Here is a 12,119-nt window from a genome sequence, read left to right on the forward strand (position 1 = left end):
CCAAGGGTGGCCACATCCCTGCTCCTGCATTTGAAACACCTCTCTCTCCTTATGATAAATGTCCCCTTTTAATTAAAATAGCTAGAGGGCTTTTTTGCTGCTTGCAACCAAGAGTCCTAAACTGTATTTTTTTTTTTTTTTTGAGGAAACCAAATACTCAGATTAAGGATACATAGTTAAGGTGGAGAAATAATGTGCAGTAGAAAAGTTGTCGGTGCAAATCAACTGTCATATCATACTGCTGCCACCCCAGCCCCTACCTCCACCCCACCGCCCCAAGCCCATTCATCCGCCAAGACTATGACTCACCTGGAGCGGTCAGCCTTGCGGACAACTTTGGGAGCCTTGCAGCTTCTGGTTTTGTTGCCTGATAGGTCTGAATCAGAAAGGATTTGTTAAGTCAGGTGAGGCCCATAGCCAGGTCCTACCTCTGCCTCCCAGCTGCAGCTCTGCCTGTCATTCTATGTCCAGAGAGTGAGTCCCCTGGTTGACTCCAGAGTAAAGCAGAGGTACCACGCGCAGTTGTATAAATGTGCCCTGCACAGGGAACAAGGCTGAGGGGACAAGCAGGGGCCGACATTTAGCCCACACTCTGCTTGCCAGGCCATGCACCCTACCACTGGACTCCATGCACCTGAAGGAAGGGGCCCCTTTTCCAGATTTGAACAAAGGCCCCACGTAGACTAGAAGTGGCCCATAGTTACAGTCCTAAACTGAGGTCTCCTCCCCATAGGAGGGGATGCCAGAGGCACAAGAGGGCCAATCCTATCCTTAAAGAACTGCTCATTTCGTGATGTAATTGCCATGTTTTTCTTATGACAGCCACCAAAACCCAACGGGAGCAGTGGCACCACGACCACCTACGATACCCCCTCTGATAAGACGTGGGAGAGGTCTGTGTTTCATTTAAACTAAGGAGTACGTTCAGGTGGGAACGTTCTCTTGTCTGAGCCTAAGATTCAGGTCAAGTTGCACAGTTAAGTAAAAGCAGAACAACACAAAGTAGAAACACTGTGGGTGTGAACGATGTTACATTCCGTAGGATGCTTGCTGAATCAATCACTAGCTAGTCAAGTGTTAGCAAAACTCTCTTTCTAGCATGGGGACAGGTTTCCAAGGGCACCCCTTAAGCCCTTCTGGTTTGTTTTCCTACCAGCATTGTGCTCTGGACTGTGATAGAAAAGGACATCCTTTCTAGAAATGGAAACAACAAGAAGGCACAGGGGAAAGAGAAAAAAAAAAAGGAAGAAAGAAAGGCTAGCGCCTTCCATAAGTCCTCTGTCTGAGAGACAGAGGTTTTCTGGTGCAAAAGGAGATTTTCATCATTCAACAGAAGGAACCTGAGTGAACATCTGGAAATCCTATGTCTTAGCTCCAGCCAAGAGTTGTAATTTGTTAACTCGACTTTTCTGCTATGGGTTCCAGTTCCACCCACACCTTCCCTGTGGTCTCCAAATATAAACTGCACATTCCTTAAAAGCAAAATAGGGTGCTTACTAGTTGGACCATGAAATTTATATCTGTAAATTATTATTATTATTTTTTGAGACAGGGTCTCATTCTGTCATCCAGGCTGAAGTGCAGTGGTGCAATCACGGCTCACTGCAGCCTCAACCTCCCTGGACTCAGATGATCCTCCCTTCTCAGCCTCCTGAGTAGCTGGGACTACAGGCAGGCACCACCACATCCAGCTAATTTTTGTATTTTTTGTAGGGATGGGCTTTCTCCATGTTGCCCAGGCTGGTCTTAAACTCCTGGGCTCTAGCAATCCACCCACCTCAGCCTCCCAAACTGCTGGGATTACAGGAGTGAGCCACCGCACCTGGCTACCTCCGTATACTATTAAATTATTTAAGTTGACAGTTACCAGGCACGTGGGTCATTTTTTGCAGCCTCAGACACCTCTCAAGAATCTAATCTTCAAGATTCTAGACCGACAAGGCACACAGACTTTTTTTTTTTTTGAGACTGAGTCTCACTCTATCGCCCAGGCAGGAGTGCAGTGGCGCAATCTCGGCTCACTGCAACCTCTGCCGCCTGGTTCAAGCGATTCTCACACAGACATTTAATAACAACTTCAAAGCCTTTCAACATAAAGATCTCACATCTATTAGACCCTGTCAGCCTCTTCTAAGGTCCTTAAACCAGATTGCTGTAAGGGAAGAGAAGTTCTAAAAGTGCCCCAGGGCGCAGACACCCTCCTTGTCCCCAACTTCCAGCTATTCCCCAGCACTGTTAATGACCACCCTATGTTTGCCGGAGGAAGAGAGAGGCCAGGCAGGCCCAAAGTACCCAGTGGGAGTCTGAGTTGGGGCTCACTGGCTTCAGAGAGTGCTCTCTTAGCAGCAAACACCCATGGCTGTGGGTTACATCCAGCCAGACCCCAGGCAGGCTCCTTACCTTTCCCAGACCAAAAGTCATTGGCCAGGGTTCCTTTGTCGTCAGTTACAATCAGCTCTGTAAAATCCATGTCATCCCTGGCAAAGTCCCGCTGGATGCCACACCAGTACCAGCCCGTGTCCTCTTTGGTCAGGCAGGACATAGTGACAATGAGCTGGTTCCCTGTGTCCCTCAGGGCCACATGATTGGTGCTGTTAGGGGAGAAGGCGATGATGTTGCAGTAGTCACGGAAATAGCCTCGGCACCAGTATTTGGGGTGATTCTTGTAGTGGGCATTGTAGTTGCAGATGGCAGAAGCCGTGTCCAGCACAAAGCTTCTCTTGACCTTTTCATCCATGACCATGGCATCTGTGAAAACACACACACACACGCACACGTGCACACACACACACCATTGTTCTCTCAAAACATTGCAGCTCCTGCCCTCCTGAAGGATAATTAATTAAAGAATCGGAGGCTGATTTTTGCCTCTTTTTGATTGGCAACTATTATGGGCTGAACTATGTCCCCTTCAAAACTCATATGTTTCAGTCCTAACCTCCAGTGACCCCAGAATGTGACTGTATTTGGATATAAGGCCTTTAAAGAGATAATTAAGTTAACATAGGGTCATTGGGGTAGTCCTTAATTCAATTCAGCTGATGTCCTTATAAAAAGGAGAGATTAAGACACTGACAATACAAACAGAGGAATGGCCCATGAGGACACAGCCAGAAGGCAATCATCTGCAAACCGAGAGATGGCCTCAGAATGAAACCAAACTTGCCAAATGCCTCGATCTTGAACTTACCACCTTCATAACATAAGGAAATAAATTTCCATTGTTTTAGCCTCCCAGACTGTGGTTTTGTTGCTGTTGTTGTTATCACAGCCCTAGCAAACTAATAAAGCAACTCTGGAGAAGTCCTTTTCCCTGGCCTAAGGGTGGGTGAAATATGGAGGCCTCCTACCATTGCTTGACGGAGGGCCTTGAAGAGCCTGAGGCTTACCGTTAGGAGGCCCTCTGTCCCTAGCTCCCACCCTACCTTAGCACCCTCAGAAAGAAAGTGATGTTTGGAGGCTTCTGCTGGCTGCACAGGGCTGAAAACAGAGGAAGTCATGTTCTGTCTTTAGGGGATAAGAACTTCATGTTCCCTCCGTACAAGACCAGCATAGGCACCTCTATCATCTCAGGATATTGCACAATGAGGAAGTCACGCACACCATGTCCAGCTTGACCATGGCAGGGAAAGTGTCTGACCAAGAAGAGGAGATGAGACAGCAGAGCCCATTCTTCTCTCAGCCTTCCAGAAGTATAGCAAAAACCACTAAAATGCAGGCTCAGGTTCTTTATAACATTTTGTTTTCGTAACAACCCCACAAGGAAGATAGCATGATCTTCAGTTTATAAGTATGAATGCTGACCCAGAGAAAGGTTCAGCAACTCTAAATGCCACACAACTGAAGGTCAGACAGAGCTGGGAAAAGGCCAGTGTTCCAAGTCTCATCTTTGGGGTCAAGCACAAGTGGAAAGGGGAAAGTCGTGTCCTCATATATGTGCACATATATTTTTGAGGGGAGAAGGGGGAAGGGGGAACCTGGGTAAACTAAAAGAAAATACAGAGCTCTCGTTTTATTTTATTCCAGTGGAGATGCTGGGGAAAAATATGGAATGCGTAATGAATTTGCATGTCATCCTTGCACAAGGGCCATGCTAATCTACTCTGTATCATTCTAATTTCAGTATATGTGCTGCCAAAGTGAGTGCAGAGTCATCATTTTAGTCAAGCTTTTCAATTTCCTCACAAACTCTCTTATCTGAGCTAAGAACAAGAACTAATATGGACAAGACCTATTTTCATCGCCTTTTATTTTCCCATCCCACTCCTTAGATGGTTCGAGTTAATAAGCAAGGACTCCAAGTAGGTGAGGACTTCAGTGCAAAGTCTCTGGAAAGGCCACAGCTTAAAGGGCTGGAGCTGTTCCGTCCCCCATCCTACCTGAAATGAGAGCCAAGGAGAGTAGAATGAAGAGCCACATGACTGGAAGGAAGCAAACTTTCAACTGGAATGATAGAATGCACCCAGGGAGCCCAGGAATTCTGAATCTGTTTAAGGGAAACAGATATGCTTGAGCTTAATATGGCTTTATCCTGGTTTGAAGAGACCAGTGAAAAGGGAAACAACCAGTTAGTCCAAGCAGTGCTGCCATGTATAGATACACTGCACAATGCACCATACCACATGCTCTTCATAGACATAAACTTACTGACGGGGCAACCAAGAAAATTCTGGGCAGTAGAGATCTCCCTCCTGCGTAAATGGGCTCTGGCCCACACTCAGAAAAGCACATGCACACAGCCATCACTGGTACACATTTGTATGTGCTCTACTATGCCCTGTCCTGCTGCCAATGGTCCTGGCATCATCAGAGGCCACTCCTTTTGTCTGTCTACCAATCTTGGAGGCCCAATTTCTTATACAGTTGAGAGGAATCCTAGTAATCAGATTTCTAACTAACCCAGCTCCCAAGTGGACACTGCAGGCTCATCTGGGGAGTACGGCCACGGGTGGCGCATGCCAGCTGTCAGTAGCCTGCGTGCCTGGGACCTGGAACACGTGAGCAGGTGGAAGTGTGGGTGGCCGCAGTTTGGGCTGCGGTCTTCAGACTTCCTGAAAGCTTTCCTGAGAAGAGCTGGGACAAAGCAAGGAGATTCATCTATGCAGCAGCAGCTTCTCCTGATTCTAATGGGACTCATGTGCTCTGACCACTGGCTTTAAAAGTTGGAATTATTGAATCACCTCTCAGGTGAAGTTAAGCTGGGTGCTACTTATCACATCCCAGAGCCAGCACATCCCATCAAGGGTCATACATAGATTGTCCAGGTTATGCAATAATGTCCTCTCTGGAGGAAGGGGAGCCTGTCTCTAATTCATGTGAAGTCAGCATGTGGGCAAGCAGCAAGCCTTCATGATGGTAGGTTTTTATCTACATCACCTCAGTTGCTCCTCATCAAAAACCTCTATGAGTTTCACAAACAAATTACATGAATAAAAAAGGAAGCAAGGAAAGGAGAATCTATGAATCAAAAGGGACTTAAGAGACATATGACAAATTATAATATGTGGAACTTATTTGGATCCTGATTGAAGCAAACAATTTAGAATATATGGACAGTGATACTATTAGGATATAATTATTCAATTTATTTTTTGAGATGTGATAATGGCATTGCCATAGCCAACCTTCACGATGGCTCCTGGAATTCATGCCCTTATGTAGTCCCCTCCCACACTGAATCAGGACTGGCCTGTGTGATCAATAAAATATGGCAGAAGTGATGGCATGTGATTTCAGAGGCTAGGTCATAAAAGGCGTGCAACTTCCACCCTAGTCTCTCATGCTGCTCCCTCTTGGGAAAGTCAGCCACCAAGCTCTTGAGTAGGCTACAGAGGGGCCCATATGGAAAAACCAATTCACCAGACATGTGACAGTCATCTCAGAAGTGGATCCTCCAGCCACTGTCAAGCCTTCAGAGAACTGCAGACCTAGCACCCTCATGAGACACCATGCATTAACCACCCAACCAAAATGCCCCCTGAATTTCTGCCCCTTAGAAACCATAAGAGATGATAAAGGATTGCTATTTCAAGCCTCTAAGTTTCGGGTGTAATTTGTTGCACAGCAATGAATAATTAATGCAAATATTGTTGTTATATTTTTAAGAGGCAGTCCTTATCTCTGACAATACTTCATGCAAAACAAACACACTCAGCATTGCTCAGAGATGGCAACATGAAACCAAAGAAAGCAGCAAAAAGAGAAATGGATTGTGCACAGATATCAGCAAAATGCCCAAGACATGAAAAAGTGTCTCTAGCCAGGCACGGTGGCTCACGCCTGTAATCCCAGCACTTTGGGAGGCTGAGGTGGGCGGATGACGAGGTCAGGAGTTCGAGACCAGCCTGGCCAATATGGTGAAACCCCATCTCTACTATAAATACAAAAATTAGCCAGGCGTGGTGGTGCGTGCCTGTAGTCCCAGCTACTCAGGAGGCTGAGGCAGGAGAATCGCTTGAACCCGGGAGGCGGAGGTTGCAGTAAGCCGAGATCACGCCACTGTACTTTAGCCGGGGCAACAGAGTGAGATGCTGTCTCAAAAAAAAAAAAAAAAAAAAGTATCTCTAAAGTAAATGAAAGTGCCAGAGCTACAGAGAATGAATGATGTGTCTACTAGTATTCTGAATATTACTTGGTGTATTAATTCCATAGAATTAACTTTCATTCTATTTAGATGTATAAATAGGAAGGTAAATAGGCAATAAGAATAAGCCAAATAATTTTTAAAACATCTTTTAGAAATAGAAAATGAAAAGTTTGTAGATGAAATAACTTAATATCTAAAATTTCAAGATAGTCAGGCAGGGTAAGTGGATACAGGCACAAATGAAATAAGATTGGCCATAATTTGATAACTACCAAACAGGATAATAGATAAATAAGGGGTCGTTCTTCTAGTCTGCTATAGTTTGCATATTTGACCCTCCAAACCTCATGCTGAAATTTGATCCCCTATGTTGGAGGTGGGGTCTCGTGGGAAGTGTTTAGGTCATGGGGGTGGATCCCTCATGAATGTCTTGGTGCCATCATTGTCATCATGGTAATGAGTGAGTTCTCAATCTATTAGTTCCCATGAGAGCTGATTGTTTCAGAGAGTCTGGCACCTCCCCCCACCCTGCTTCCCTTGCGTTCATCATGTGATCTCTGCCCACTGGCTCCTCTTTGCCTTCCACCATGGGTGGAAGCAGCATGAGGCCCACACCAGAAGCCAAACAGGTCCCAGCACCATGCTTCTTATACAGCCTGTAGAATTGTGAGCCAAATAAACCTCTTTTCTTCATAAATTACCTGCCCTCAGGTATTCTCTTATAGCAACACAGACTAAGACATAGTCACTCTACTTTTGTATGTATGAAGTTTTCCATAAGAAAAAGTAAAAATCAAAAAACAAAAACAACTTCAACACAGGTATTATTAATCTGATCTTACAAATGAAGAAAATTGAGGCTCAGAAGCTTAAGTCGCTTGCCCACATTCACACAGCTAGTAGAGCCACTATGATTTGATGGTAAATCTGGGAGGAAAACAAACATTGTGCTGCTTTCCCAATAGTTATAATACTGTAAAACTGTAGAGCATATTAGAATTTACAAAGGGTCTTTAAAGATATCTGTCATCTGAGTAGTTGGAGCAAGATGCAGCCCAAGTGTTCTTATTCCCATCATACTCAGCTATAGTAGCTAAGAGCAGAGTTTCTCTAGAAAATGTGCATTTGGTTAAAAGAAACTGAATATACAAGTGGACTATGGCCACACCATACATGAAAATAGAATCCTGACCTGCAACCTGCAGCAACCTGCTCAGGAAACCAACTGCTAATCAATAAATAGTAAGCCAGCCTGCTGTAAGTCAGACTTATAGGAAGTCGGATTGCTATCTTAAGCCAGAAAGCCAAACAATGGCCCCTTTAACAATCAACCCAAAATGGCCAGGACTCAAAGCAGTCAGGCAAGAGACATAAATAAAGGGCATCTAAATAGGAAGAGAAGTCAAACTATCCATGTTTCTGGATGACATGATGCTATATCAAGAAAACCCCATAGTCTCAGCCCAAAAGCTCCTTCAGCTGATAAACAACTTTAGCAAAGTTTCAGAAAACAAAATCAATGTGTAAAAATCACTAGCATTCCTATAAACCAAGAACAGCCAGGCTGAGAGCCAAATCAGGAATGCAATCCCATTCACAATTGCCACAAAAGAATAAAATACCTAGGAATACAGCTTACCAGGGAGGTGAAAGATCTCTATAATGAGAATTACAAAACACAGAAGAACATTCCATGCTCATAGATAGGAAGAATCAATATCATTAAAATGGCCATATTGACCAAAGCAATTTACAGATTCAATGTGATTCCTATCAAACTACCAATGAAATTGATATGGAATCAAAAAAGAGCCCAAATAGCTAAGGCAATCCTAAGCAAAAAGAACCAAGCTGGAGGATATGACATTACTCAACTTCAAACTATGCTACAGGACTATAGTAACCAAAACAGCATGGTACTGGTACAAAAACAGACACATAGACCAATGGAATAGAATGGAGAACCCACAAGTAAAGCTACACACCTACAACCATCTGATCCTTGACAAAACTGACAAAACAAGCAGTGGGGAAAAGACTCCCTATTCAATAAATGGTGCTAGGATAACTGGCTAGCCATATGCAGAAGATTGAAACTGGACCCCTTCCTTATACCATATACAAAAATCAACTCAGATGGATTAAAGATTTAAATGTAAAACTCAAAACTATAAAAACCCTGGAAGGCAAACTAGCCAATACCATTCTGGACATAGGAACTGGCAAAGATTTCATGATGAAATGGCCAAAAGCCACCACAACAAAAGCAAAAATTGACAAATGGGATCCAATTAAACTGAAGAGCTTCTCTGCACAGCAAAAGATATTATGGGAAAAGTATTTGCGAACTATTCATCTGACAAAGGTCTAATATCCAGCATCTATAAGGAACTTAAACAAATTTACAAGAAAAAAACAAACAGCCCATTAAAAGGTAGACAAAGGACATGAACACTTTTCAAAAGAAGACATACATGTGGCCAAACAGCATGTGAAGAAAAGCTCAATATCACTGATCATTAGAGAAATGCAAATCAAAATCAAAATGAGATACCATCTCACACCAGTCAGAATGGCTATTATGAGAACGTCAAAAAATAAGAGATACCAGTGAAGCTGCAGAGAAAAGAGAACACTTATACGCTGTTGGTGGGAGTGTAAATTAGTTCAACTAGTATACTAATTGAACCAATTACTAAATAAAATTAGTTCAATTCATGTATAACTAATTTGTGGAAAGCAGTATGGCAATTCCTCAAAGAGCTAAAAACAGAACTATCATTCAACCCAGCAATCCCATTACTGGGTATATACCCAAAGAAATATAAATTGTTCTATCATAATGACACATACATGTGTATGTTCACAATAGCAAAGACATGGAATCAACCTAAATGCCCATCAATGGCAGACTGGATTTTTAAAAAGTGGTACATAGACACGATGGACTACTATGTGACCATGAAAAAGAACAAGATCATGTCCTTTGCAGGAACATAGATGGAGCTGGAGGCCATTATCCTTAGTAAACTAATGCAGTAACAAAAAAACAAATATTGCATGTCCTCCCTTATAAGTGAGAGCTAAATAATGATAAAACATGGAGAAAAAGAGGGAAACAACAGACACAGGGGCTTACTTGAGGATGGAGTGTGGGAGAAGGTAGAGGAGCAGAAAAAAATAATTGTTGGGTACTAGGCTTAGAACCAGGGTGATGAAATAATCTATACAACAAACCTATGAAATTACCTATATGGCAAACCTGCACAGGTATCCCTGAACCTAAAATAAAAGTTTAAAACATAAAAAATTAAAATTTTTAAAAAGAGACATTAAAAAATAGCCAGGACTTGATTAATAACTGAAAACTCTCCTAATTTTTGTCTCCAGTTTCAACTTAGGATCAACCAAGAAAGCCAAATGTGTGCCCCCAGTTAATCAAATAGGCTGCCCCACTTCTAGTTACCCTGCCTACAGCTTCCCCAAGCCAACAGCCTCCAATCAAGGCACACCTAAAGCCTTTCCCTTTTTTCACTGATGAAAAAAATTAATCGGACGGCCATTAGTCGAAGATGGCTCTGGTGCCTTGGATTCCTACATAAAGCAAACTGAAACCCAACTCAGTGCAAACAGTAAAACAAAACTTAAGCTTAACCTATCAGAAACCACCAAACTAACCTCAAACTAGGGATTTTCCACTTTAACCAATAAAATATATTTTCTTTGTCTTACTTTCACAAATACCTCATGAAAGTTTCCTCTCTCACCTCCTTTGGTGGAGCACTGAACCACTTGTAGTCTGGTGCTGCCCAATTCATGAATCATTGAATGCTCAAATAAACTCATTAAAATTTTAATGTGCTTAAGTTCGTGTTTTTATGCTACTATAAATGTTTCCCACTCTTCTGCCTACCTTTGAGTCTCTGCCAAAATGCAAGTGACTACAGCTGACCTCCTTGCTATAGCAAGCTCAGAATAAAAAGTCTTTGCTTCTTCTCATTAGATGGGTCTCTACTTTTTTCCCCAGTTGTCTTGATTTTTAAAATAAGGCAAATAAACCCAGTTGCTCAACATCCACCCTAGTTCCAGCTTATTCATATGGAGGAAAGGGAGGAAGCAAACCTCAGTTTTGTCTGGGTGGCCTTTTTAATCTTATTCCTTTAGAATAAAAGCCCGCAGTTATTCTTTACCATTTAGCTGAGAGAGCAAGCCAGAAGAGGGGTTCCCAGGAGATTCCTGTGACACTAATCTCTCTTTTTTGTTTTTGAGACGGAGTGTCGTTCTGTCGCCCAGGCTGGAGTGCAGTGGCACGATCTCGGCTCACTGCAAGCTCCGCCTCCCGGGTTCACACCATTCTCCTGCCTCAGCCTCCCGAGTAGCTGGGACTACAGCTGCCCGCCACCACGCCCGGCTAATTTTTTGTATTTTTAGTAGAGACGGGGTTTCACTGTTTTAGCCAGGATGGTCTCGATCTCCTGACCTCGTGATCCGCCCACCTCGGCCTCCCAAAGTGCTGGGATTACAGGCATGAGCCACTGCACCCGGCTCCTGTAACACTAATCTCTAAACCTGAAACCAGAGTGGATCTTGTCCCTTCTAACCAAGCTCCTCACCAGTGATTCTTCATTCATCTTTTTTGAGTTTACTTCGAAAGACATTTATTTTCACTGTACGGACTCCTGGGCTTATGGAACACCTTAAGTCAGGAGATTCCCGTTAGACAAAGATAAAAAACACAACTCCCAGCAAGCCATCAGTGGACTTGCTAAGCTGTGGCAATCAGGAAAAGAAAAAAAGAGAGAGAGAGAGACAGAAAGGAGGAGGAGGAAGAGGGAAGAAAAGAAAAAAGTAAAAGCAGTTCTGAAACTCAGAAGCTAAGGATACCAAATGACTCAGGACAGAACGCTGTTTTGTCTTGAGGGAAGTGGTCCATTTAAATCAAGTTTTAAAAAACAGGGCAGTGTTAAGTGTTTCTATGGCAACGTAGTGTACAACGTAGTGTATCTACGTTAGAAGCTGTTTGTAAATTAAGAAGCATGGTGCGGGGATTACCAGGAGACTGAGGGCAGCAGGACCCTTCCTCTCATTTCTCCAATGGGGCAAAAGTTGTTCCAAGGTGAACAGTGTGCCTGAGACACCCAAAGCCCTAGAATAAACCTAGGGCCTCATCCTGGAAGTGCCTTTTAAATACCACAAATTAGAGGGGAAACACCTAGAATTCTTGATTCCTGGGCTGACAGGAGGAGAAGCAAAGCTCCTTTGCTGAAATGAAATGTTAACAAGATAAATTTGGTTATCAGGCTCTGGCCTAAAAGTAGGTTCAGGATAAACCTTCAGGACTGGCTAAGAATTAATCTCATTTTCAGATACGCTTACCCACTTTGATGTTGTTTAATTGAAATCTCCATCTTGTTGCTCTTGTCTAGCTAAAATATTTTCTTGAAAGTGAGAGTTCACAGCAGCAAATTTGGATAGATCAAACCAGAGATGACACCTTGAATCTCTAGAGCCACATTCAGTGCTCAGAAGATGT

At 43.2% G+C, this 12,119-nt stretch overlaps 1 protein-coding gene and 1 pseudogene across 3 annotated transcripts in view; both read right to left on the reverse strand.

Annotated features, from left to right (window-relative positions):
- The window catches only part of TMIGD3 (transmembrane and immunoglobulin domain containing 3), an 80,615-nt gene that overhangs the window by 2,929 nt on the left and 65,567 nt on the right, over nucleotides 1-12,119 (reverse strand). For 2 of the 3 annotated variants that reach the window (NM_001081976.3, NM_020683.7), the window contains exons 2-4: nucleotides 4,380-4,486; nucleotides 2,401-2,748; nucleotides 310-376 (exon numbers count right to left, since the gene is read on the reverse strand). In NM_001081976.3, coding sequence (NP_001075445.1) covers nucleotides 310-376; nucleotides 2,401-2,748; nucleotides 4,380-4,486 — 522 coding nt within the window. The remainder of the gene's footprint in view (nucleotides 1-309; nucleotides 377-2,400; nucleotides 2,749-4,379; nucleotides 4,487-12,119) is intronic. The other variant, NM_001302680.2, reaches the window with a different exon arrangement.
- RNU6-792P (RNA, U6 small nuclear 792, pseudogene) lies at nucleotides 4,041-4,147 on the reverse strand (annotated as a pseudogene).

The sequence above is a fragment of the Homo sapiens genome, chromosome 1, assembly GCF_000001405.40.
Source record: "Homo sapiens chromosome 1, GRCh38.p14 Primary Assembly".
Classification (NCBI taxonomy): domain Eukaryota; kingdom Metazoa; phylum Chordata; class Mammalia; order Primates; family Hominidae; genus Homo; species Homo sapiens.